We start from the raw sequence: 26,372 nt of genomic DNA on the forward strand, positions 1-26,372 counted from the left end.
TAACCAAATACCCCTTACAATTTTAAAAGGGATGCAATTATTCTAATAAATTCATTTCTTACGTAGGGTTTGGCTTGACTGAATTTCATCTCTATTTTTCTACTTGCAGTTCAATGAAGAAATCATATTTTAGAAACTATTCTAAAAAGATCAAGAATAAAAGATGTGAAGAAAGAACTATATCTCTCTGACCTAAAGTCTTATGTTTAAAAATGCTGTTTTCTGTGAAAAGGAATTGGGACATTAAAAGAGGATAATCTACATTAGAGGCCAGACTATAAGGTTCGAGTGTTACAACCTGGTCCTCAATGAATGGATTTTAACATAGTATGTAAATCAATATACAGTTCATGAGAAAATATCTGCCTTCAAGAAAATATCTGTCTTGGCAGAGTATCCTGAAAGGACTTAAAAGACTACTTTTCAAGGGACATACTTAAGAAATTTAAGCCACAAGAAAGTCACTGTTGATGAGACCAGTAAGTAATGATTTCTTTCTCTCTCTCCTTTTTTGGTTTTTACAAACATAGAAAAAGAACCAAAAAGTCAACATAACACTCTCTACTGAGCAGCAATGGTAAAAAAGCTAGATTTCCCCCACTTCTGGTTTTAACCCAAAGAATATAGAGATTGATTTTCTGTCTCAGTCACATATGATGGCTGTTGCTCCCACAAGAACAATTTGAACCCCAAACTATAAAGATACAAAATGGGAGTCAAAGTAAGACTTCTGGCAGGGATAAAGACTCAGGGCAATAGAGGGAAAAATAACCTGTTTGTTCCTTTTCAGCAGTTACTAATGAAAACTGCACTTAAAATTACTCATGAAAACTGGAAGACACTATGTTAAGTGAAATAAGCTAGGAACAGAAAGTTAAAGACCACATGTTCTCATTTATATGCAGAAGCTAGAAAAATGTGATCTCACAGAAGTAAAAAAGCAGAACAGAGGTGACTAGATTCTGGGAAGGGTAAGAGGAAGGAGAAGACAGGGAAAAGACTTGTTAAAGGATACAAAATTATAGCTAGATAGGAGGAATAAATTCTACTGTTCCATAGCATTGTAGGATGACTATAGTTAATAATAATGTCTGTTTTCAAAGAGCTAGAAGGACAATGAATGTTCCCAACATGAAGAGCTAATAAATGTTTAACATGGTAGATATGCTAACCACCCTGATCTGATCAGGGTACACTATACACTGCATGTATCGAAACATATTATGGGGTACATATTTATGTACCCCATAAATATGTACAATTATTATGTGTCAATTAAAAAATAAATAAAATGACTCATGAAAAAATAAATAGCTGAATGCAAATTCACTAATGCATGTTTGGGAAGTAACTTACAATGGGAAATATCTATGGTCAATCTTTAAAAGAAACGTAACTGGGCACGGTGGCTCACACCTGTAATCATACATGTTTGTAATCCCAGAACTTTGGGAGGCTGAGGCCGGCAGATCACCTGAGGTCAGGAATTCGAGACCAGCCTGGCCAACATGGCGAAACTCCATCTCTACTAAAAATACAAAAATTAGCCAGGTGTGGTGGTGCGTGCCTGTAATCCCAGCTACTCAGGAGGCTGAGGCAGGAGAATCACTTGAACCCAGGAGGTGGAGGTTTCCGTGAGCCAAGATCGCACCAGTGCACTCCAGCCTGGGTGACAGAGCAAGACTTAGTCTCAAAAAAAAAAAAAAAAAAAAAAAAGTCATCCCATCCTATTTTTCAACTTCTTAAATTACAAGAGAATGCTCCTACAATAATCAAATTTTCATAAGCATGAGATTAAAAATTACAAAGAAAAATATAATTACCTTTGACTTCACTCCAAAGAAGAACTTGAACATTCTGAGGAATGAAAATATAAATTCCTCTTTCTGTCCAAGTCAGCACACAATGCTCACTGCAAGAGAAGAAGTGAAGAGAATTCAAGTGTGCTAGGATACAAAAGTTTATAATTCCCCGAATTCAGATCCTTGCATTAGCTATTAAAGTAAAATCAAACTGTACAAAGAAAACACAAGAGTGATCCAGCTAATCGAGTCCTAACAACTCCTTTCTGTCTGTAACAACAGCCCACTAATAAATAGCATAAAATGATGCCAAATTGGGAAAATTCAGACACATATACTAGATATTTTCCAGAAAAAGAAAAGGGTCAGCTGGGTGCAGTGGCTCACGCCTGTAGTCCCAGCACTTTGGGAGGCCAAGGTGGGTGGATCACTTGAGGTCAGGAGTTTGAGACTAGCCAGACCAACATGGTGAAACCCTGTCTCTATTAAAAATAGAAAAATTAGCCGGGCATGGTGACATGCGCTTGTAATCCCAGCTACTCGGGAGGCTGAGGCAGGAGAATCACTTACAGGGAGGCGGAGGTTGCAGTGAGCCAAGATTGTGCCACTGCACTCCAGCCTGGGTGACAGCCTGGGTGACTCTGTCTCAAAAAAAAAAAAAAAAAAAAAAAGAAAGAAAGAAAAGGCTGGTATCTGGAAAAAGAAAAGCTTAGGGACCTTTACCTGATGTTCGTTAAAGCAGCTGAACTTTCCATACTGGACATGATACGGGCACATTTAAAACAAAGACTAACATCTTACTGCCAATCATTACTCTAGTGAGACACTTTTAAGAACAGTAATATTTTGATGTTGTTAGTTGTGTGTGCGCAACAAAAAGCTGACAACTCCTGCTCAACGATGTGCCAGGAGCTTTATTAAAGGCTCTGTCTATATTACCTAACTTTGTAGAAGCCAGTCAAGGTAGATATACTATTCTTATTAAAAAGAGAAAAAGCTAAGGCTCAGAGAAATAAAATAATATACCAAAGGCCATTCAGCATGAAATGTATACGAGTCAGAATTTATACTGGATATGCAGGATAGTCTGGCTCCAAAACCTGGACTTTTTTCCTATATAACACAGAATCTACTTCCTCCTCCACTTATCTTCACTAACCTACTCACTATTATCTGGAATCCTAACTATTCCACTTAACTGAATTCTCAAAAAGTCACAGATTCCCAAACTGCCAAACCCAATAACCCTTCATCACTTCCCATTTTCTTAACCCCAAGCAGAAGCCAACCCTGCTAACTGTTCTCTGCTTCTTGAACCTCACCTCCTGGGGCTCCTGGACACTGCATTTTCTTGGTTCTCTTTCTCTCCAGTCCTCTGGTCTGGAGGACTCATTTTTTTCTCCTCATCTTTTTCTATACTTACTCATATAAATTTATCTCATATATTTCATTTATTCTCTCAAGGCTGCTACTATTTTTTATATACCACTGGTAATCTCCACTTCCTAATGCTGTTCAGGACATTCTCCAACTTACAATGTTCTTAATCTAGCCACCTCTCAAGGATCAGAAGTTCTACTTCCCTCTGAAATCCTCCCTTACAGCCCACAACACTCACCCTATTTCTTGCACTCAACCTATTTCTTATACTCTGCTCATATGGCACTTAATCATCTACTGCACTGTCACAACTCTTACTTCTTATTGTTGTTAAACTTTTTGGACAAATAAATCATATCTCTCTAATAAATTATACTCTGAAGAACAGGGACTATATTTCTTTTTCCTTTATGTTTCCAAGAGTACTAAAAATGGTTCCATGTGGCTATGAAACTAATTGATTTTTAACAGGAGTTGGGCCCTCATGTAAGTGTTAAACATTTTGTCAATATGAAAGACCAGATCACTATCCCTACAGGAAAGTAATCTTTGTCATAAAATGCAAGAAATGGTCAGAATCTGAATCCAAAGTAAAATTGAGAAGGCTGCCTTCAAGAGTCAAAGGAGAAAAAAAGCGGGGGGGGGGGGGGTGTCAGAGGATCCCTGAGAAAGAGATACAGGATCATAATTTTGATACTGAACCTGACATTCAGCTTGGAAAATTCCTTAGGAATAGCAACCTAGATTAGATGGGGGGCTGAGGACGGGAACTTAGATAAAAGCTGATACTTGTAATTTATACATTCCTTGTCCCCTTATCCCTTCACTGATAATAAATGGGGACATAAGCCTAACAGCATTGTTTTAGAAGTTCCAGAAAGGAATGTGCCTGAAAGGAAACAAAGTACATAAGGATGCCCCCTCTGGGATTTATGGGTTGCAACAGTAAAAGTCCCATAGGGCACAGTGTACGAATGAAAAACATAAACAAACAGGAATGAAAAGAAGCCCTCCTCTTCATGTTTTCGAAAAAACTCTTTGTTGAATTCACTATCATTTGAGGGTTTTCTATGTGTCTAGCACTGCCCATGAAAAGGAGTTGACAATCTGATGCTGGGATGCATACTCATAATACAGTAAGACAGTGGCAATGATAAAGGAATGAATATGGTTTGACAACAGTACATGCACAGAAATAGGTTGTCTAACGTAAGCCTCTTTGAGGAATCAGCAGAAGTTTCAAAGTGGCGTTAATTGTTGCTTTAGCTGAGGAATAGGCAGAGCCAGATCATCAAAGGCTTTTTGTCTACCATGGTAGGGACTATAACAGCAGCTTTAAATAGCTACAGCCAAAAGAATAACTCTACCAGGAGAGCTAAGTGTATTGTGGCCCGACTACTAGAAAACATATTCTTGGGTACTTTGGGAAGCCGATGCAGGTGGATTGCCTGAGCTCAGGAGTTCGAGACCAGCCTGGGCAACATGGTGAAACCCCATCCCTACTAAAATACAAAAAATTAGCCAGGCGTGGTGGCGTGCGCCTGTGAGTCCCAGCTACTTGGAAGGCTGAGGCAGGAGAATTGCTAGAACCTGGGAGGCAGAGGCTGCAGTGAGCTAAGATCGCACCACTGCACTCCAATGTGGGTGACAGAGCAAGACTCCGTCTCTAAAAAAAAAAAAAAAAACTTGGGTAAGGGACTTCCCAATACCCCGCACATCACATCATAGTCAACAAATATTTATTAAGTATCTATCATGTGCCAGGCATTAGGCCAAGCATTGAAAAAATAATAGTCAACAAAACAGAAATAAAGCCCTCATGGAGCTTACTGTTTAGGGTAAGACATGTATAAATATTATATTAATATGTAATTATAAACTGTGACAAGTGCCACAAAGGAAGAATGCTAAAGGAGGAAGAGTTTTTAATATGCTTTATCTAATTATGGGTAAATAAATAAATGTCTTTCTCTAGTAACTTTCATGAAGAATTATGGAGTTACTAAAGTGTTATAATGTCTATAATTCACTTTTTTTTTTTTTTTTTTGAGACAGAGTCTTGCTCTGTGGCCCAGGCTGGAGTGCAATGGCACGATCTCGGCTCACTGCAACCTCTACCTTCCAGGTTCAAGCGATTCTCCTGCCTCAGCCTCCCTACTAGCTGGGATTACAGGAGCATGCCACTATGCCTGGCTAATTTTTGTATTTTTAGTAGAGACGGGGTTTCTCCATGTTGATAGGCTAGTCTTGAACTCCCGACCTCAGAAGATCTGTCCGCCTCGGTCTCCCAAATTGCTGGGATTACAGGCATGAGCCACACCCGGCCTTATAATTCACTTTTAAATACTTCAGTGTAGGAAGTATGACAAATACATGAACTGGTTTTTATCCTTACCCTTAGAGGCAATTAGTTAACACTTCAATTATTTTTAAAAATCACAAAGAGTGGTTAGTTAGCCTTTCAAAGAACTGAATCAGGTGTTCACACTCCAGTGTACCATATGACAACTTCATACAATATTTGCTGAATTTGCATCAGAGATCTTGTTAACTAGCCTAAGGGATATCAGAAGTAATTTTTTATTGATGAAATAGAGTTCAAGATATTGGCTGGAAATCATACACTGGTACTCTTGCTCTTGCAGAACAAGGTGTAAGAATTGGCAGGTCCAGCAGTTTAACAACTTTTAGGGCAGCACTTTGTGCTGGACTTTGCACCTAATCCAACTAGAAGGCTGGCTGAACTCTGACATTAGAATATGGCTGAAACTGCCTCCAGCAGATCTTTCATGCAAGCATTTGTCAGAGTACCTATAGGATAGAGAGCTGAAATTTCACCAAGCTTACAAGAACAAGTTCTACAACTATTTTTGTGCCTGCTTGCTAAAAACACATACATCTGTGTGGCAGATTTTGATCTGGGACTTGCTTTCATTATAGCATCCCATTAGGTAGGAGAGGTTATGAGGCGGTTAGTAGAGCTATCTTAGCTCCAATTGTTAGAAGTTTCTTGGCAATTATAAACTCTCCAATTGGCTTGGAAAGAGAAGTGTATTTCTAGGATCTTTCCATTCCTTTTAGATACAGAACACTTCATGTAACATAATTATTTCCTAACTTTCTATAAGTAATTTAGTGCAAAAATAACCTTAAAAAACTACTTCTGAACAAGAAACAGAGATAAAAATCTAAGTATTCTTTTTCCCCCCCAGAACTAAGGAAAGTAGAAACTTACCTAAGATGTAAGAGTTTGGGGAAAGACAAAGACTGGGAGGATCCAGCTGTATGATCATACTGAGGTTCTGATCTAGAAAGTAAACACATCTGTTAATGAGTTTATCTGTTAAAAGTATAACATAAAATTACACTTTTCCCAATATAGGGAAATTTTTGCCTCCAAAACAAATTCAAGAGCCTAACTGCATCTGCCCTTATTCGCCTGACACTAATCATAGGAGAGGTAATTATCAAAGACTTCTTTGGTTTTTCTGAATCTTTTAATAAAAATAAAAATCCAACTTCACTCTGAAAAGATAGAATAAAATCTTTTTTTTTTTTTTTTTTGAGACGGAGTCTCGCTCTGTCACCCACGCTGGAGTGCAGTGGCACAATCTTGGCTCACTGCAAGCTCCGCCTCCCTTCACACCATTCTCCTGCCTCAGCCTCCCGAGTAGCTGGGACTACAGGCATGCGCCACCACACCCAGCTAAATTTTGTTTGTATTTTTGGTAGAGACGGGGTTTCACCGCGTTAGTCAGGATGGTCTCGATCTCCTGACCTCAAGATCCGCCTGCCACAGCCTCCCAAAGTGCTGGGATTACAGGCGTGTGCCAACACGCCCAGCCAGGTATAATAAAATCTTTAACACAGATAGAATATCAGAGATTTTCACCGAACCTCTATATAGAAGCTCTTCAAACAATCCCAACCAGCCATACAAATCGTTACCTGAGAGTAATCACAGGGAGAGGTGGCAACGAGAGGAGTTTCTTGAACTGATGTGTACTTATAACTTCTCCATCAAAGTTCACTTCCCACATCCTAGAGCCTGGGCGAGCACAATATATCAGAGGTTGCTGGCCCCCAGAACATCTTCCAGGAAAGAAACAAGCTCCATATTCTCCATCTCTTTCCTTGTTTCCAATTTTCCAAAACTTTTCTCTAACATCCAGAAAGGAAGAGAAAGCAGATTTACTTACAAAAAAAAGTCAAAAACAACGGCACTACAAATCAGCATGGGCATAATAACTCCACTCACAATGCCTTCTCCTTCATTCATATTAGCAATATACTGAAAAAAACAATAGAATGGAAAGATCAAAATAGGATTCTGGCTCTGATTGCCATTAGCTATTTCTATGACAGGAAGCAAATCATTTCATATTAGTACTCAGTTTATTATCCACAGAATAAGAGGCTCAGAATTAATGTAAAGGCCCCTTCCAAATCTAAAAGGTGAGTGCTACCAAACTATTTCGTACATCCTTGAATCCTACTAATTGCTTCTAAAGTCACTTTGTAAAATGTTCTTTGGACACTCCATGGAAGCTACTAATCTAGTTCTCCAACCCTGTCTCCAAGTCACTTCCTCACCACAAACACCCAATAAACTTACTTTTTCCTCAAAAACCCAGGTCCTTCTGAAACTCTGCACCTTGGAGCATTCTGTTCCCTTAGGATTACATGAGTTAGATATATAAAAGAGCTTAGTACACTGCCTGGGAACACGGAAGGTGATAATGATGAGGGAGATGTCTCTTCCTAAAAACTCCTGTTACTTACTCTCCATGATTCCATCATTCCTCCTCAGAAACTTATCATTCCTCCTCAGAAACTTTCCTTGATTCCCATATATGGAATTACACGCTTCCTATGCTTTGCTTTCATAGCACTTATGACATGATATATGGCAATTATGTCTATTTAAACAGCAGATCATGACTTTTCAAGGCAAAGGACAATTCTTATTCCTCTTTGGTTGAATTCCCAGTGTGTAGCACAGTGTCAGGCCTACAAAAAGCACTCAATACATTATAGAGTTCCATAAACTCAATCTCTTTTATTGAAGAGTGATCTAATATGCTCTCTAGCATGAATTTACTAGTTAACCTCAGATAATTCAATAACTACTTCTGTACTTAATTGCTTTATGAATAAAATATAACATTTGCTTTACTTTAAGAACATAGGTGTAAGAGTGCTTTGAAATGTATACAGAGCTGTACAGGAAGTAGTGGTTTTATTACTTATACTCCTTATTTGGGAAATAAAATATATTTCTTCATTTTATATTTTCTATGGTACCTAATACAGTGCTAAGGAGCTGGAGGAACATAATAAATGTTTGCTGAGTGAAAAATGTAATCAATTCATTATCATTTGTATACTCATTAATCTTACTTTCTATTATTTTTCAAACAATACGTCACAGGCACAAAGTTGAGTATTTTCACATATGCTACCTTAGTTAATCCTTAACACTAAATTTACATGAAGCAAAGTCATATCTATCACTTTGGCTAGTCACTAGGAGTCTCAGCTTTAAAAAAAAAAACAAAGAAACAAAAAAAACCAAAAAACTGTTTGTTGGGAGGGAAAACAGGTTGAAACAAAAAGATTTTTTAACATAAGTATATATTTTATTATATTACACATGTCCCCAAAAGCTGAATTCTAGCTAACAGAAAGCACGTCTAAACATGTTATTTTTACAGGAGGTTCTATGATACTGTCATCCAACTTTAGTTATGAAATAGGTACACAGGTGTTGATTACACAATTCTCCCTTCTTTTGTGTAGGCTCAAAACTCTCCATGATAAATTTTTAAAAGGAGATGGTCCTGAGAAATATGATAGCTGCCAGGCCCAGTGAAAAAAAGAAATGGCCAGTGAAAATTTCCTTGCAGTGAGAATGGCTGAGAACTTTGGCATAGTGATGCATAATATTCATTTCCAGCTGTCTGCTATTCTGCTCTGGTATTTCACAGCTACCTCTAATGCACTCCTTTGCCATTCATTGTACCTCTGGCTCTATCTACCCTTGAGATTTTGATGAAATACTTATCTTCATAAAGCTCTTAATTATTTTTCATCCAATTTTACCCTTTAGTAAAATTCTATTAAAATAAAACAAATCTTGAAAACAACAAAACTCAAAGAAGACTTCCTGCTTTCCCATCTAAAAACAGGCCTTTAGCCTTCTCTCATGGCACTTAGAATATGTCTCACCAGCAACGGGCTCACGGAATACTTGTCTTAGTCACCCACTGGACTGTCTTAGACTCCTCTACCTCCTCTCTGCTCTCTAACATCAGCTTGCATACAACTGATTCCTTAACATCTGTATAGCCAGGGGCAGTGGTTCATGCCTATAATCCAAGCCCTTTGGGAGGCTGAGGCAGGAAGATTGCTTGAGCCCAGGAGTTCAAGACCAGCCTGGGTAACATGACAAAACCCAGTCTCTAAACAAAATACAAAAAATTAGCAGGGCATGGTGGCATGTGCCTATAGACCTAGCTACTTGAGAGGCTGAGGTAGGAGGATCGCTTGAGCCAGGGAGGTCAAGGCTGCAGTGAGCCATGATCACACCACTGCACTCCAGCCTGAGTGACAGAGTGAGACCCCATCTCAAAAAAAGAAAAAAAAGAAAAAGAAAAAAAATCTGTATAACTGATTGATGGGGCTTGGGGTAGATAACTTCTAAGTTCCTCCCAGTTCTAAAATTCTGCATTTCTGATGACTAATGGTTGGTCAATATACCTCTCAGTGTCACACAAGAAGGATCGAGTAAGTGAAGATATAAGTAGCCTTCCATCCAAATAATCTAACTGTACAACACAGGAGTCAACAGTTGTGATTGTCTGAACAGGAAACATCACAAAAGCAGCAGCTGCCTAAAAGGAATGTGAGAAAGAAATAAAGTTTATTTAATCATAACATACACATGCAATCTCTTCCTCTTTACCTTGTAAATGAAAATAACTTGAATAGCAAAATAAAATTTTCAAATAAGCCAAAACTTAATTTGCTTGTAAGGATATCAAAGTTTTAGTCACTTAAAAGTTGTATTAAATAATCTGGTACGTAACTGCAGAAGAGATTTCTCAAGGATCTGTTTGTGATTATCTAATCTTAGAGGTTAGAACGAAAAAGATGAAGCAAGGTTTAGAACATGTTAGTCAGGCATGGTAGCACACATCCATAATCCCAGCTACTTGGGAGGCTGAGGCAGAAGAACTGCTTGAGCCTAGGAGCTTGAGGCTGCAGTGAGCTAAGATCATGCTACTATATGCCAGCCTGGGCAACAGAAGAAGAACCTGTCTCTAGATAAATAAAGTTTTGGAGTATGTGAAAGAATTTTTCACCTGTAGATAGCACTTCTCCCTTTTAGAAAAAGACAAAATAAGTTTACTAGGGTTTCTATATTTTAGGTCCAAAATATATTAAGAATCAATTGATAACGTTGATAGGTCATGACGGCAAACCAGAAAAATATTCTGATGTGTTCATTAAAATAAAATAATTTAGCCAATAGCCAGGCGCAGTGGCTCATGTCTGTAATCCCAGCACTTTGCGAGGGCAAGGTGATTGGATCACTTGAGCCCAGGAGTCCGAGACCAGCCTGGGCAACATGGCGAAACCCTGTCTCTACAAAAGTTTTTAAAAATTAGCCAGGCGTGGTGATGCATGCCAGTAGTCCCAGCTACTCAGGAGGTTTGAGGTGAGAGGATTGCTTCAGCCTGGGCAATCAAGACTGCAGTGAGCCATGATCTCACCACTGTACTTCTGCCTGAGTGACAGAGCAAGAACCTGTCTCAAAATAAAATAAAATAAATTTAGCCAATAGTAGTTAGAGCCTTTCTTTTCTGCCAGGATCCTAAATAGAAATAAGCCAATGCAAGACAAATCCCTCTACTTCTGATGTAATGGTCGTGGAGGAGCAGGACAATGAGAAGCTGGTCTATTCTGTCTTAATGACAGACTGGAGCATTCTGTTAGGGTAACCTGAGTCTCAACCCTTCTACTTAGCCATAACTGCAGCAAGAAGCCTGAGGACCTGCAGAGCAGAGCAAAGCCAGAAGGTGTCTTCAAGATTCCATTCAAAATAAGTTATATCCATCCTGATAAAAAATATTCCTAGACCTATGAGTTTCTTCTACACAAGAAGCAGAGAAGACCAGAAGCCTGGGCAATTGGTGTCATTTCTATGTTTGTCACTTTATTCACACCAATAATAAATAGATATCTTTTCTTTCTTAATAGCCTTATACTAAAGAATGCTTTAAATGAGCCATGCAGGTGAATCAGGAAGGACTGCAATAGATAATGTGCAAAGTACTGAAGTTAGTTCACAAAAGCCATTCTGTAACGGTATTGAGCTAACAGGCCACCGTGTGTACTATATAAAAACAGGTCTCCTCAAAATCTCCAGGTTTGGACTCCGGATTAGTCTCCCAAGAAATACAGTAGATAAAATCACATCCTTTAATTGGAAGTTTTATAAGACAACACCTTGTATCTCACTACATACACAAAGAATGGGACTGCTTCTCACCTTTGCTTGTTTAGAAGTATTGAGTTTGATAGCAGAAACCTTCCCAGCATGATCACCTACAAAAACTCTAAGAATAGCTGTATCCCAGCAGAGAGCTGTGACTCTTCGGCCTTTGTGTTCTGAAGACACATACATTTGTTCCGGTTTCCCACGACGCTCTTGATTTAATTCCCAAACAACCACAAGACCTTGACTGCAAGAATTGAGTCACAGAGGCAAACGTGGCAACAGTGAACAAGGTACAATTTTGTTGCATCACAGTATCAACTATATCAAATACATATGCAACTCTTGTTCTTCAGAAAAGAGGAAGTATTATAAAAAGTCAAGGTATTAATTTCCTTGTTTTAGTCACCAAACCAGTTTAATAGGAGAAGTTAAATGATCTAAATTATCTCTGTTCCCTTTATCTTTTAAGGCCTTTGAAATGTTGTAACCTTAAATTAGCATTTTCTACAAATACTAGGATGACCAGCTGTCCATTCTGGTTTGCTGGGTACTGAGAGATTTCCTGAGACACAGGAGTTTCACTGTTAAAACCGGGACAATCCTAGGCAAACCAGGATGGTTGGTCACCCTAACAAACACATGTGTCAATTTAAAATGCATTTGAAAAAGGACAGATAGTTTTGGAACAGATTCTTACCTGGTAGCTACAGCAACATAATCATCATCATGTAAACAACAGGCGACTTGAGAAATTGCACCTTCCTAGAGCACAAAAGAAAATACATTTTTTAAATCTCAAGTTTTACATTATTATTATTATTATTTTTTTTTTTTTTTTTGAGACTGAGTCTCGCTCTGTTGCCCAGGCTGGGGAGCAATGGTGCGATCTCGGCTCACTGCAACCTCCACTTCCTGGGTTCAAGCGATTCTCCTGCCTCCGCCTCCCAAGTAGCTGGGATTACAGGCACTCACCACCACGCCCAGCTAATTTTTGTGTTTTTAGTGGAGACGGGGTTTCACCATGTTGGCCAGGCTGGTCTCCAACTCCTGACCTCAGGTAATCCATCCGCCTTGGCCTCCCAAAATGCTGGGATTACAGGCGTGAGACACCGCACCAAGCCAAGTTCTACATTCTTTTATTCCAAATGATTATTTATATTGGAGAAATTTGCATTTATGAAAGAGACTCCAAATGGTGTATGACAGAGCTGCCCTTAATCTTACCCTGTGTGAAAGAAAAAGCCTGTGCTTCCAGCCTTCTTTCTGAATGAGATGGAGTCCTCCTCCTGAACTGCCCAAAGCCAACCATTTCCGAGACACAGCTATGCTCGTGCACTAAAAACATGTGAAGAGAAGTGTGAGATAATCACAGCTACTTAACCAAATAGACTATCCACTGAAAATAAATACTGAGGATTTATGCATCAGGCTCCTTCCCTCACTTTACCCTCTGCCCATATGGACACAATATGACACTTATTCTCTAGTTCTAGAATAGTAAAAAATACTGAAGAAAGAACATTTTGTTTTTAAACTTCTAAATGAATCTCACAAAGGCTGAATAGGCTCCATTGTATGAGTAATTTTCCCTTGGCAAACGCTGGCTGTTAAGACTTCATATTTTGTGTAATTTGGCTAGGTCATTCCAATGCTGACTACAACAATGGAAGACCAAGGAAGTTACCAGAAGATAAAGCAACCAGGTTAAATATTCGTTCATTTAAATCATTTCTAATCTGTACAAACACCACAAAACATCCACAAGTCTTAGGGTAGGTGAGACTCCATCAGAGAATGCAGTGGTCATGCCGTGCCCAATACCCCGTGGTAAAAGTTATTAGTTGATTGACTAAGAGACATTCCCAATCTTCTTCAATTTTGTTGCTTTTCACCATAGAAGTTGGAAAACCTAAATATTCACCTTCCCAGTTCCCTAGTTGCCAAGGGTTGTCATGTAACTCAATTCTAGCTAATAAGACCAAGGCTGCTGAGGCCTTGATGAAAGATGAAAGGCAGAGCCTGTAGAAAGCCTTTGCCCTTTGCCCCCACTTTCTTGAGATGTTAATGAGAACAGTAAGACTGGAGACAGGACACATATTGCAAAAGCAGCTAAAAGCTAACATATGTGCAATGGTAGAACAGGAAAAATGGGAGCCAGTTATATCATTGGGCCACTACACTAAACCCAGAACACTAACCTCCTATGAGATTATAAACATCTTTACCACGTAAGCTCCTATTAATATGTTACACCATACTGTAATTTGCAGCTGAAAAAATGTCTAACTGATATCAAGCCTCAAAATTGTTACTCATATTACTGTCTATCACTTCCTATTTTCCCTTTCCTCAGATGCTAGTATCTCCTTTAGGGCAGTAGCAAAAGTATAAAAATGAAATTACTTTGGTACTGGTTATGAAACTTTGTTTTTTACCACATCATTCCTGAGTTTAATCAAAATAACTCAGAGATTGAAGGAAGTACATAGTTCTTTGAATTCCAAGGACAATCAAAACACATACTTATTGAGGGAAAAAAAAAAATAGCTCAGGGCAGTCTGAGCTATGTGAAGTATGCAGGCCCAGACAGAAATGAATATGAGATATCAGTCATGCACCCACTCTCTGCACCCACGCCTGGGGGCAATTGTTTAAAGTAATTTTGTCACTGACTAGCTGTCTCACCTGTTACCTTCATGTCACTGAAATCTGTGATACAAAGAACAATGTATAGCCAATCAATAGTTTTTGTTATTTTAATATGAGTTTTTGCTAAACAACTCAGAATCTGCCTCTTCTTTTCCTTTAAAAATCCACTTGGGCTGGACAAGGTGGCTCATGCCTATAATCCCAACATTTTGGGAGGTCAGGATGTCGAGACCAGCCTGGGCAACAGAATAAGACTCCAGCCCTAATTTAAACATTTTTATTTTTAAGAAATCCAGGCCAGGCGCAGTGGCTCACGCCTGTAATCCCAACACTTTGGGAGGCCAAGGTGGGCGGATCACGAGGTTAGGAGATCGAGACCATCCTGGCCAATAAAGTGAAACCCCGTCTCTACTAAAAATACAAAAATTAGCTGGGTGTGGCAGTGCGTGCCTGTAATCCCAGCTACTTGGGAGGCTGAGGCAGTAGAATCACTTGAACCCAGGAAGTGGAGGTTGCAGTGAGCCAAGATTGCGCCACTGAACTCCAGCCTGGTGACAGAGCTAGACTCCGTCTCAAAAAAAAAAAAAAAGGCCGGGTGCGGTGGCTCATGCCTGTAATTCCAGCACTTTGGGAGGCCAAGGCAGAAGGACTCACTGAGCCCAGGAGTTTGAGACCAGCTACAGCAACATAATGAAACCCTATCTCTAAAAAATATATAAAAATTAGGCAGGCCATGTGGTGTGGTACATGCCTGTAGTCCCAGCTACTTGAGAGGCTGAGGCAAGAAGACTGCCTGACGCCAGTTCAAGGCTACAGTGCACTGCAGTGTGCTATGACTCAGCTATGATGCCTGTGAATAGCCACTGCACTCCAGCTTGGGCAACATAGTAAGACCGCATCCCCCCTCCCCCGACCAGCCGTCTCAAAAAATAATCCACCCAGCACTTTGGGAGGCCGAGGCGGGCGGATTACTTGAGGCCAGGTGTTCAAGACAAGCCTGGCCAACATGGCAAAACCCCGTCTCCACTAAAAATTCAAAAATTAGCCAGGCATGATGGTACACACCTGTAATCCTAGCCTCTCTGGTGGCTGAGGCATGAGAATCACTTGAACCCGGGAGGCAGAGTTTGCAGAGAGCTGAGATGGTGCCACTGTACTCCATCCTGGGCAACAGAGCAAGACTACATCTCAAAAATAAATAAATAAATAAATAAATAAATAAATAATCCACTTGTAACTGCTGCTAATCAAAGTGTATATTTAAAGCAACTTTTATCTATGTTCCCAGGTTGTAATCCTCAAGCTTGGCCCTAATAAACTGTCTGCTTATATTATTTTCGCCTTTGTCTGTTTTGTTTTCTGGGTTTTTTTATTCCTTTTGAGATAGGGTCTTGCTGTGTCACCCAGGCTGGAATGCAGTGGAGCTATCACAGCTCACTGTAGCCTCAACCTCCCTGGCTCAAGCAATGCTCCCAACTCAGCCTTCTGAGTAGCTGGGACCACAGATACCCACCACCACGTCCAGCTGATTTTTGTATTTTTTGTAAAGATGGGGTTTTGCCATATTTCCCAAGCGGTCTCAAACTCCTGAGCTCAACCAATCCTCCCACTTCTGCCTCCTAAATTGCTGGGATTACAGGCATGAGCCACCAAGCCAGGGCAGCTTCTTCCTCTTAGCTTCTTCCTCTTAGGTCGACATTCTGCCCAGAGCTAACTAACTTTTGCTTTTCTCCCTAAAACGAGGGTTACACCAGACTCCCTGTTTTGGAATGACCTTAGTATAACTACATGTTATTCAAAATGTAAAGGGGTTATTGGGGCTCAGCAACCAATACCCCAAAATAGGGAGCTTTGACATGCTGACAGTTCTTAGAAGCTGCCTCAAAACCAAAGTCCCTTTAACCTTGTCTCGTTTCCACCTCTCCACCAAGCACAGAGTGGGACTCTCTCCAGAGGAATTTCCTTATCTGACCAAGAAAGCTTCTTTCCAAAGTGGGCCAGGCTCAATGGCTCATGCCTGTAATCCCAGCACTTTGGGAGGAGGCAAGAGGATTGTCTGAGGCTAGGAGTTTGGGACGAGCCTGGCCAACATGGTGAAACTCTGTCTCTACGAAAAACACAAAAATTAGCCGGGCGTGGTGGCAGGTGCCTGTAATCCCAGCTACTCTGGAGGCTGAGGCACAAGACTCACTTGAACCCAGGAAGTGGAGGTTGCAGTAAGCCAAGATCGTGCCACTGCACTCCAGCCTAGGCAAGGGAGTGAAACTCTATCTTAAAAAAAAAAAAATAGAAAGAAAGAAAGAAAGAAAAAGAAAGCTTCCTTCCAAAAGAAATGCAATTGTCCTAAACCCTTTCCCTAAGGATCTCATCAAATAACCAGGAAAAATCAACAGACCGGGAGTCATCATCATGCCCAGATAGACTTTTCATTTATTCTTCTGAAGGTAGCTCCAAGAGTTTATCTGGGGGATTTTACCTGCATAAGTCAGATTGTTCCTATGCAGCTCCATCCCTCACCTTCCCATGTCTGCCTCCCACTTGCTAGGTCTATTCATTCTCCATAATGATTTATTGCCACTCAAAACAATCATCTACATTCTCCATATCCCCACTTCCCTATGAAAGAGGGTACACACAGCCAGGCATGGTGGCTCCCTCCTGTTATCCCAGTGCTTTAGGGAAGCCAAAGGCCAAGGCACATGATTGCTTGAGGCCAGGAGTTCGATGTTATCATGAGCTATGGTCTCACCACTGTACTCCAGCCTGGGCAACATAGCAAGACCCCATCTCTACAAAAACTTTAAAAATTAGCCTGGCATGGTATCGAGTATGTTTAGTCCCAGCTGCTCAGGAGGATGAGGCAAGAGAATTACTTGAACCCAGGAGTTTGAGGTTACAGTGAGCTAGGATCTCCCCATTGCACTTAGGCCTGAGCAACAGAGACAACCTGTTTCAAAAGAAGAAAAAAAAAAGAAAGAAAAGAAAATAAGATTTTATATGCCTTTTCTCCTATTAATCTTATTTTTAGTAGCTGATTTTTAGCAAACCTTCAGAAGATGAAGAGACAGTTTTCTCTTGGTCTTTGTGAGATATACTCATTTATACCATTTTATTTTCAATCAAATATATTACTTTCTGAGAGAAGACAGCAAGAACACTAACGGGGAAAAATGAAGCAAGTCAGTATCATGGTTTCCAGGGATGGTAAATTAGAATTCAAAAGATAGCTCAAAAAATAAATCAAGAAAGAGCTATGAAAATTATACCTCTATGTAAAGTGTCAACCTAAAAGGAAGAAGTTGAGGCCAAATTAACATTGACTTTATTTGGGCCAAGGTTGAGGATGCAGCCTAGGACAAACTTCCAAGTTGCCTTGGGGAATGCTCTGGAAAACAAGAAACTCAAGTTTTCAGAAGAGGCTGTTTGTCAGGAATTCTCATTGGCTTACAGCAATAACATTGATTAGTGATTGGCTATACACTTTTGAACTATGAAGTGTACTGCATTTTATCACTACTTGGTGTCAGTTAGTCTAGTGCCCACATAGCAAGTAGCTTCAAGAGGTAATTAATTAGCTCAAACAAAAGTGATAAAACCTGTAATCCCAGCACTTTGGGAGGCCGAGGCGGGCAGATCACGAGGTCAGGAGATCGAGACCATCCTGGCTAACATGGTGAAACCCCGTCTCTACTAAAAATACAAAAAATTAGCCAGACGTGGTGGCGGGCACATGTGGTCCCAGCTACTTGGGAGGCTGAGGCAGGAAAACGGTGTGAACCCGGGAGGCGGAGCATGCAGTGAGCTGAGATCACACCACTGTACTCCAGCCTGGGCAACAGAGCGAGACTCCGTCTCAAAAAAAAAAAAAGAGTGATAAGAGACTACTGTTTCATTCCAATGCTTCTCCGGGCCTGATAAATTTTTTTTTTTTTTTTTTGAGAGAGTCTTACTCTGTTGCCCAGGCTACAGTGCAGTGGCATGACCTCGACTCACTGCAACCTCCACCTCCCGGGTTCAAGTGATTCTCGTGCCTCAGCCTCCCGAGTACCTGGGATTACAGGCGCGTGCCACCTTGCCCGGCTAATTTTTGTATTTTTAGTAGAGACAAAGTTTCACCATGTTGGCCAGGCTGGTCTTGAACTCCTTGCCTCAAGTGATCCACCCACCTCAGCCTCCCAAAGTGCTGGAATTACAGGTGTGAGCCACCACGCCCAGCCTGGGCCTGATAATTTAAAGGGGCTCACACTCCTCAGATAAAAAGTTTATTTTCTTCTTTTTTTTCCCCCACAAAAGTATGACTAGGACAGGTAAGAACACCCAAGATTCCACAAAACGTTAAGGAACTGGAGGGTAGGGGCACAGTAACAGAGAGCACGTGAAAATGAAACTGATACAAGGATCAAGAAATTCACCTTTAGACGACTGGAGTCCAGCCGCAGGGCTGAGAGTAATGGATCCAGAGATTCAAACTCTGCAAGAACATGGCTGTAGGACTCTGGTATCACTGGCACAAAAGCCATTTAGCCAGAAAGCTGAAACTTGTTGAATGATAGATACAGTATTCCTCACCTGAATAAAATCCACAAAAATATAATTTAAGAAGCCCACCATTCATTTAACATGCATTTAACAAATATGTGGGGAACATAGAGAAACATGAGAAAGTCCCCACTATACAGGGACTTAGAAAGAAAACACATAAGGTAACATCGTATGCCACAGTGTGTTTACATTGTGTCATTCCCTGACTCTAAAACTCCCAGAGTAGCAGGTACGGATTCTCAGGGCCCTCCATAAGCCTATCCCCCTGTATTATCTAACAGTGTGAGTAAACAGAATAGGTAGAGTAGGATTTAGGAAAATTGGCATATCACCCTGAGTTAAAACAGCAACCTTGCTGCTGCATTTCTATGAATACTAAATCTTCTGTCTTTAGGAGTCTCTCATTAAAACGCAATCTTCTGTAAAGGCCTCAACTTATTAACTGTTATCAGCAAACCCTACAGTTATCAGCTAACAATTTAACAGTGGTTTATAGGAATAGGCCACTAGACTTCTCTCTTCAACCGAGCAGGGGCTTAGTAAGTATGGTGAATGAATGAACAGATCTACTAAGTGAGAAGGTACAGGGAATTAGAGCACAAAGAAAAATAAGCGCTTCAACAAAAGAGACTAGATAGGACAGAATACGGATAAGAATACAAGGTAACAAATGCCAAATAACCAGTGAGGACTTTGTAAAGTAACACGAAAGTTTTTATGTGTTCACCTACTCTCAAATGCACTTTTTTGTCAACTTGCACCAATCTCCAGAAAAAAAGAAAAGAAAATTCTACTCATTAATTATAACTTTTCTCAATCACTTGTTACCTGCCAAATTTAGAAAGCCAATGAATACAACAGAAAAAGTCATGAACTGTTTATACATTCTTGTTGTTTGTTCATGCTTTACGTTTTTGACTTTTTTTCCAGAAACATATATATTCCATCACTCATTTATTCAACAAATTTGTACTGAGCACCCACCTACGTGCCAGACATTATTCTAGGTCCTGGAGATGATAAAGTTCTAACCCTCATAGAGCATACTTTCTAGTGGCAAAACGAAGACTATATTTTTTATTGCACACACATAACACAATCTTATTTTCTGCTAGTAACACTGTTCCTAATACACCTTGACCTCTGCAAGGAGAATGTTCAGGAAAAAAAAAAAGAAAAAACCCAGAAAGAAACTTTCACATGCCTGTACTCAAAATATTTGAGAATTATTGACCTAAGAAAATCTTCCCTCATTGTTTTCACTCATTCATTTCATTGAGTACCTAGTAAAGTACCAGGCACAGTGGTAAAAATAAGACAAGTAAAATAATTCCAGAAGTCAGTCAGTTTATAATACGGAGGAAAAGACAAATACCACACACACACACACACACACACACACACACACACACACATCTTATAAGGGAAACATAAGCAAACTGCTTTGTTAGAACTTTACAGGACAGAGGGATCACATTGAATTAAAGGGAACTGAAGAAAACGCTCTAAGGAAAGTAGTACTGATGCTGACTAGGCTTTTATCTCAAGGAAAAGGGAAAGGGTAGCAGGTAGGGTAGCAATAAGCAAATATATAGAGAAGAAAAAAATGCAGAATATACTAGAAGAATACAAATTTAGTCTTTGGTTGAAACAGGATACAAGCAACGGAATAATGAAAGATAAAGCTGGAATCTTAATTTGGGCCCAAGTTACAAAACACTTTGAATTTCAAACCAAAGAACCTGAACTTAACTTGGCAGGCAACAGAAAGGAATTGAAGAATTGTGTGTTGGGAGGTCACACAATTTCTGTAAAGTGCTGTGGGTGGTTAGATGCTAGAAAACAAAGACTTGAGAAAACGGGTGGGTGATATGAAAATGAGGATAAAACATTTCAATTACTCAAGAAGTCTGGTGGAAAAGGAGAAAACCTCTCTTGACGTTATTATTGGGGAGACTCTTCAACAGATTTGTAGGTAGTAGCTAAAAGTAGAGTCTAGAACGAAAGGGACTGAAGATTCAAGAAAAAGATAAAACCATGGTACAGGATCCAAGAGATGGAAAGGAATGATAATATCATAGTGTCTCTTCTACTTGTGATCTTGAAACAAAGAAACTCTGAGTAGGTCATTTTGCCTTAATCTCGGTAAAAAGAGAATGTCCTGGAAGTTATAATATAATGCGGGGGTGTGCAGGGGGACACACCTAGTAAGTTCTACTGAAAAGAAAAAAAGAATTTAACAGAAATGAGAATGGAAAATAAAAACAGCATAAGCAATGCCAATTCTCAGAGAAGCTGCTGAATGACAGTGTTAAACCAACTTCAACTTTATACTTTATGTTTACTCTCCCTGAAATGACTGCTTCCCTTCCAGATTTTCTTATCCAAACATACCCAGCTTTCAAGATCGCACATGAGCCCTACTTCCTAGAATTCTCAAGATGGAAAAAGATTCATAGGTAATTCAGTGAACATGTCCACCTAATTCAGAAATTAGTTTTGCCCTAGATCCCTGAACATTTTCAGCCATGGAAAGAAAGCACTCACTCTCATGAAGCTGCCAATTCCAGTCCTCCAAAGGGCTCACTATTATAAGGTTCTTTTTAATACTATGCTGAAGCCTGATCACTTAGAGCTCTACCATTATTCCTAATTGTATGTAGCTTCTACAGCTGAAGGGAACAAGCTGTCTCTTTCCAAAACAATCCTTCTGTATTTGAAAAGCATTATCAGGTCTTCTAAAAATTTAACATTCCCAGTTTCTTCATCACTCCTGACATGACATTTTCCAACCCTCTGTTCCAGTCAACCTTCTACAGAGGCACTGTAGTTTGCCTAAAAATGAGGTGCCTAGAACTGAGCATAATACTCCTTAAGTAGTTAGATGAGCCCAGAATAGAGTAGAAACACTAACTTCCTGGATCTAGACACTAAGTTTCTATATTACAACCTAAAAACAGTATTAGTTGTGTTTAAGTGGCCATGTTACACATTGATTCAACAGAGCAAGTGGTCAACTAAAACCCAAAGAAATTGTTTACATAAATAAAATCTTCTTAGCCAGTAGCTACATACAGTAGAACTGAGCTCAAATTGAAAGCTGCTATTAATCAAATGCAACAATGGATATAAAAAGTACCTAGAAATGTACAAACAGTATAAAGAGGAACAGCAGAATGCTGATAATTGTTCAAGTTGCGTTAAGTGTACATGAGGGTTCAATTTATTATCCTACTTTTGTCTGCGTTTGAAATTTTCCACAATAAAATTTAAAAAATATATACATAATATTGTACAAGCCTTCAACAGCTCTATTTCTTGAAAATCTGTTATCTCCTCCCTGCTTCTTTTTCCAGCCTTATTTCCCATCTTAACCTCTCTATTCTCCAACTACATTGGACTCGACTCTTTTTTTCTTTTTCATTCCATAAACTTGCTGTGCCTCCATGGTTTAATATATGATGTTTATGGAATCTTCCCCCATTTACCAAAACCCTACCTTTCTGCAAAGCTGAGTTTAAATGTTACTTCTGTGAAGGCACTCTACCAAAAACTAAGAACATAGAAGTTGGCGACAAATGCTTAACCAAAGTAAATGAAACAACTTTTGGGAGACTGGCTTGCCCAAGGATCACAGAGTTCATAAATGGTAGAGCTGAGATTAGAATACGCGTCTCCTGAATCCAAATCTCATCTTTCCATTATCGTAAAATAGTTCAGTGTTTGTTGCTCACACATCAAATGCAAACATGTTTCTCTTTTGCCCCAGTAGGTGCGTGGAGGAAGAGGAGAAAGAAGTAAGAAAGATAGCAAAAATTGAAGAAATGAGAAGGGGAAGTTGCAGACTGCCTCATTTTCACAATGGGATCTTTCTATCCAAGAAGAAATGATCAGAAAACAACTCTCTGCCTCAGACAAATGGCGACTGACTCATTTATACATTCATTCATTCAACATTCTGAGTGCCTACTATGTTCCAGGACCTGAACACACCGCTAGAGACACAGGGATGAACAAAACACAATCCCTACCCACAAAAAGCTCCTTGCCTAGTGGAACTACTACCTTTTTAACAGCAGTAACTTTAATATCTTGAGATTTCTTGAGAGGAGACCCAGTAACCAATTTTCAAAGCCAGGCTCACAGACCAGCAGCCCGGAGGTCCCAGCCCAGCTCCACCACATCCAGGGCAGTACCTCGCAGCTCTCAGTAGATCGGATCTTGTCTCCCGGCTTAGCGCCGGGGAACTCACCGCGCACTAAGAGCGGAACGTGAACTTCAGTCTCCCCTCGCGTTCCTCCCCTTCCTTGCTGACGTCATCCAGGAGAGCCGCAGACTGGAAACAACGCTACTAACGGCACTTCCTCATCACGTGACGAGTCACGCCCCTCCTTCCGCGTGGTCCCTCCCCCTCAGGCCGCGGTCGCGATTACGCTCTCTACGGCCTGCGACCGCAGGGCCGTTGCGGGCTGGAGACACGGCGCCGACTGGAACCGGAGGAGCTCTAGGCCAAATGGTTGGGCCAGCCAGGATCCCAGGACCCTTCGCCGCTCGAGACCGGAGAGAGGAAACGAAACAGGCGGGAACCCGTGGGGGAGGGAGGGAACTAGCGGAAGGTGTCATGGCGGCCGCGCTCTTGAGTCACGTGCCCAGGGCCCGCCTTGCTACTTCCGGTCACGTGCCCTCAGACTCCTCGCAGCCAGCGATGGAGGCGAGACCCCCTAGTAACAGAGGCGGTGGCTACTGCTGCGGCCACTGGGTTTCGGCCTCTTCCCAGCAGCGGCTCTAAGAAGCGCAGCGGAACTCGACCGGATCCAACCCAGTTAGTTACTTCCTGTCTAGAGTTGTAGCTTCCACCTGGTAAGTTTAGACCGAAGAATGCAGGCGGGCGGGTGGGTGGGCGGGTGAGGAGCTGACAGGCCTGGGGGCCGCTGGACGGCGTGGATTCTACCCCTGTTCCCAGCGTCGCTGTCGCCGTCCTCCCAACGCCCAAGCCTGGCGTCTTGTTTGCCCTTATCCCGAGGCGAGGAAGAGGCGACCCCTAATCTACTTGTCTAAAGGAAACCTGCTCTTAAATTGAGAGCAGGTTTACCCAAAGCCAGGATCAGATTTGGCTTATGAGAATGAAGTGGAGGCCTCTCCCAGACAGAGAAGCCCTTCCCGTCAGGAAATGTGCTGTTGAGTCTGGGATTCTGTAAGAGAAAAGCTGTCACCTTGTTGTCTGCACACCTTTTGCTTCCACCTGTCAATCTTACCTCTCTTAAAAACCTTAACACGTGCCAGTCCACACACTCCTAGTTTTGGTCATTTGATTGTCGTGTAATGATGAAAAATAGACCATGAGTACCTGGATATATGTAATTATTTTGTAAATCCCCCAGTGTTCTCAAAGGCCAAATTAAATAAGGAGGTGACTTTTCTTATTTTTTTTTAAGAGACAGAGTCTTGTTCTGTCGTCCTGGCTGGAATGCAGTGGCGTGATAATAGCTCACTGTAACCTCGAATTCCTGGGCTCAAGCGATTCTCCTGCCTAGACCTCCCAAAGCGCCAGAATTATGCTACAGTGCCTGGCCCCAAATGACTCCTAAACTCCAATTTTAGCATCAGTAAAATGGGGATGGGGAAAGAAGATATGAAAAATACACCCTTTGTCCATTTGAAGACCCAGTCTTAAAAACAAAAACAAAAAAAAAACTGAGTGGTTTGAATGAAATGTGCTTTGCAGTGAGTATTGACTCCATACAAACCAATATCCAGACTTGTGATTTTCAAACATTTTAAAGGAGTGGAACAATTTCTCCCCATGAATTTTTATCTGGAACCCAATATATAAAGCAGCATGCTCTGGTGGAACTAAATTTAAAAGGGCCAGGCCCCACCACCCCACTTAACTTCTATCCTAGAGGCCACTCCTTGGAACACAGTTTGAAAACCACTGAACTGGACTTAGGTAATTAAGCCAAAGTTGCCAACCTTAAGATTTTTTAAAAGACAAAACCAGAGCAGTTGAGATGGAGAGGTCACAACCGCAGGGAAGGTAACCTCTAGTAGCAGGCCTTGGACTTAGAGAAGGACTAAACTCTGGAGAGAACTTTGTACCTGTTAGCAGGCTTAAGTCCCTCATTCAGAAAGGAGAAAAAAGAGATGGTCTGCTATCCTCACTCAGCCGACATTTTTTTTTTTTTTTGAGACGGAGTTTTGCTCTTGTTGCCCAGGCTGGAGTGCAATGGCGCGATCTCTGCTCACTGCAACCTCCATCTACCGGGTTCAAGGGCTTCTCCTGCCTCAGCCTCCCCAGCGGCTGGGATCACAGGCGCACGCCACCATGCCTGGCTAATTTTTGTATTTTTGGTAGAGACGGGGTTTCACCATGTTGACCAGGCCATTCAGCCGACTTGTAGCAGTGCAACAGATTGGTAAGTTTGAGTCTCTCTTAGGTGATATAAAATACACATTGCAGTACAAATGTGAAAAAAAATCAAAGCAAATTCAGAGAGGGCTTTTGAAAAATACTAGGAAACTTGGTGCAGTGTGGGAGAAGAATCAGTTAAAAGTAGTGAAGCCAGCGACCAGCACCAGTCCTGGGTTGTGAATGCTTCCTGTGTGTACTGCCCTCAAGGCTTGTAACTTCTCCCTGCTGGTACCATGTGTCCTGCCCTCTGATAACCTGCTTCTCTGTGCTATTTTATTCCCTACCATCAGAATGTTGTCTGGCATACCTTGAGCTTTCCTAGCATTTTGGCCACCATTTATCTCTGCCTTATGCATACTGCTGATAGAGATGTCTTTGTGCCCTTCCTTTCTCTTTCCTGCCTTCAGTGTGGCAGTATCAGCCATTGACCTAGTAGTTCCTCTTTTCACCACTTTGATTACCAACTGATTACTCTTCTCTCAATTTTGGTAATATACTCTTGTCAGCATGCAGTATTTATTAATGGATATGAGCATATTTTCTTCTGTCATGCATCTCTGTCGCATTTTCCTCCTGCCTCTTCCCTGCACTGCTGTAAAATGTACAAGTGCTCAGTCCTAAAATTGCCACATCAGTTATTCTCCTTAATATCTTCCTTGTCTGTGAAATTATCCTTAAAACAGTACATTTTGGTCACTCTTTACATACTTATAAAGTTATTCCCTTTAATGCTGAATTGTTCAAACACTTTTGGATTGCTTGATGGCAAGCAGCATTCCAAATCTCCATTTTTGTATGCTGGCAGATATAACAGTGCTCTCTAGTAATCCTTCTTTCAGAAGATTTCTCTTTCACTTGTTGCTCCCTATCTCCTCTCCTCCATTTATCTCTTGCACATTGGAAAAGGGGATGTAGGTAATGGAAATGCAGAGGTGCAGTAATGTAAAGATTTGTATTCAACCAGTTCATATTCTTCCTTATCACTGTTGCCTTTTAAGAGCAAGATCCAGTTATTAGAATCTGTATGAGAAATGGTACATTGATCTGTGAATTGAAAACTATAGTGGTTCCCGGAGTTTAGGCA

At 40.8% G+C, this 26,372-nt stretch overlaps 2 protein-coding genes across 43 annotated transcripts in view, besides 6 other annotated features; one reads left to right on the plus strand and one right to left on the minus strand.

Annotated features, from left to right (window-relative positions):
* HPS5 (HPS5 biogenesis of lysosomal organelles complex 2 subunit 2) overlaps positions 1-23,170 on the minus strand; it is a 43,505-nt gene extending 20,335 nt beyond the window's left edge. For 9 of the 39 annotated variants that reach the window (NM_001440916.1, NM_181507.2, NM_001440902.1 and 6 more), the window contains exons 1-9: positions 22,942-23,136; positions 18,747-18,903; positions 12,910-13,020; positions 12,383-12,447; positions 11,737-11,929; positions 9,942-10,075; positions 7,131-7,343; positions 6,418-6,489; positions 1,824-1,912 (exon numbers count right to left, since the gene is read on the minus strand). In NM_001440916.1, the coding sequence (NP_001427845.1) occupies positions 1,824-1,912; positions 6,418-6,489; positions 7,131-7,343; positions 9,942-10,075; positions 11,737-11,929; positions 12,383-12,447; positions 12,910-13,020; positions 18,747-18,854 (985 nt within the window). In that variant the 5' untranslated portion in view covers positions 18,855-18,903; positions 22,942-23,136. Of the gene's footprint in view, positions 1-1,823; positions 1,913-6,417; positions 6,490-7,130; positions 7,344-9,941; positions 10,076-11,736; positions 11,930-12,382; positions 12,448-12,909; positions 13,021-15,399; positions 15,516-18,746; positions 18,904-22,941 lie in introns of all 39 variants that reach the window. The other 30 variants (NM_001440930.1, NM_007216.4, NM_001440923.1 and 27 more) reach the window with 20 other exon arrangements.
* Positions 11,823-11,902: an enhancer, noted in NCBI's record as "active region_4495". NCBI's record gives its function as "activates an Ori minimal core promoter by ATAC-STARR-seq in GM12878 lymphoblastoid cells {active_cell/tissue: GM12878}" and the evidence as "EXISTENCE:reporter gene assay evidence [ECO:0000049][PMID:35858748]".
* Positions 22,634-23,583: an enhancer, noted in NCBI's record as "H3K27ac hESC enhancer chr11:18343185-18344134 (GRCh37/hg19 assembly coordinates)". NCBI's record gives its function as "activates a minimal SCP1, AML or CMV promoter by ChIP-STARR-seq in primed H9 embryonic stem cells {active_cell/tissue: H9 hESC(primed)}" and the evidence as "EXISTENCE:reporter gene assay evidence [ECO:0000049][PMID:30033119]".
* Positions 22,634-23,920: a biological region, named in NCBI's record as "BRD4-independent group 4 enhancer GRCh37_chr11:18343272-18344471".
* Positions 22,721-23,920: an enhancer, noted in NCBI's record as "BRD4-independent group 4 enhancer chr11:18343272-18344471 (GRCh37/hg19 assembly coordinates)". NCBI's record gives its function as "activates an origin of replication core promoter dependent on BRD2, P300/CBP, MED14 and CDK7 cofactors, and independent of BRD4, by STARR-seq in HCT116 cells {active_cell/tissue: HCT116}" and the evidence as "EXISTENCE:reporter gene assay evidence [ECO:0000049][PMID:35650434]".
* Positions 22,811-23,110: an enhancer, noted in NCBI's record as "active region_4496". NCBI's record gives its function as "activates an Ori minimal core promoter by ATAC-STARR-seq in GM12878 lymphoblastoid cells {active_cell/tissue: GM12878}" and the evidence as "EXISTENCE:reporter gene assay evidence [ECO:0000049][PMID:35858748]".
* Positions 23,121-23,540: an enhancer, noted in NCBI's record as "active region_4497". NCBI's record gives its function as "activates an Ori minimal core promoter by ATAC-STARR-seq in GM12878 lymphoblastoid cells {active_cell/tissue: GM12878}" and the evidence as "EXISTENCE:reporter gene assay evidence [ECO:0000049][PMID:35858748]".
* Positions 23,563-26,372, plus strand: part of GTF2H1 (general transcription factor IIH subunit 1) — a 44,479-nt gene continuing 41,669 nt past the window's right edge. For 2 of the 4 annotated variants that reach the window (XM_024448457.2, XM_006718208.4), the window contains exons 1-2: positions 23,563-23,736; positions 25,232-25,292. The gene's annotated coding sequence lies outside the window, so the exon portion shown is untranslated. The remainder of the gene's footprint in view (positions 23,737-25,231; positions 25,293-26,372) is intronic. The other 2 variants (NM_001142307.2, NM_005316.4) reach the window with 1 other exon arrangement.

The sequence above is a fragment of the Homo sapiens genome, chromosome 11 (genome assembly GCF_000001405.40).
Source record: "Homo sapiens chromosome 11, GRCh38.p14 Primary Assembly".
In the NCBI taxonomy this organism is placed as follows: Eukaryota; Metazoa; Chordata; class Mammalia; order Primates; family Hominidae; genus Homo; species Homo sapiens.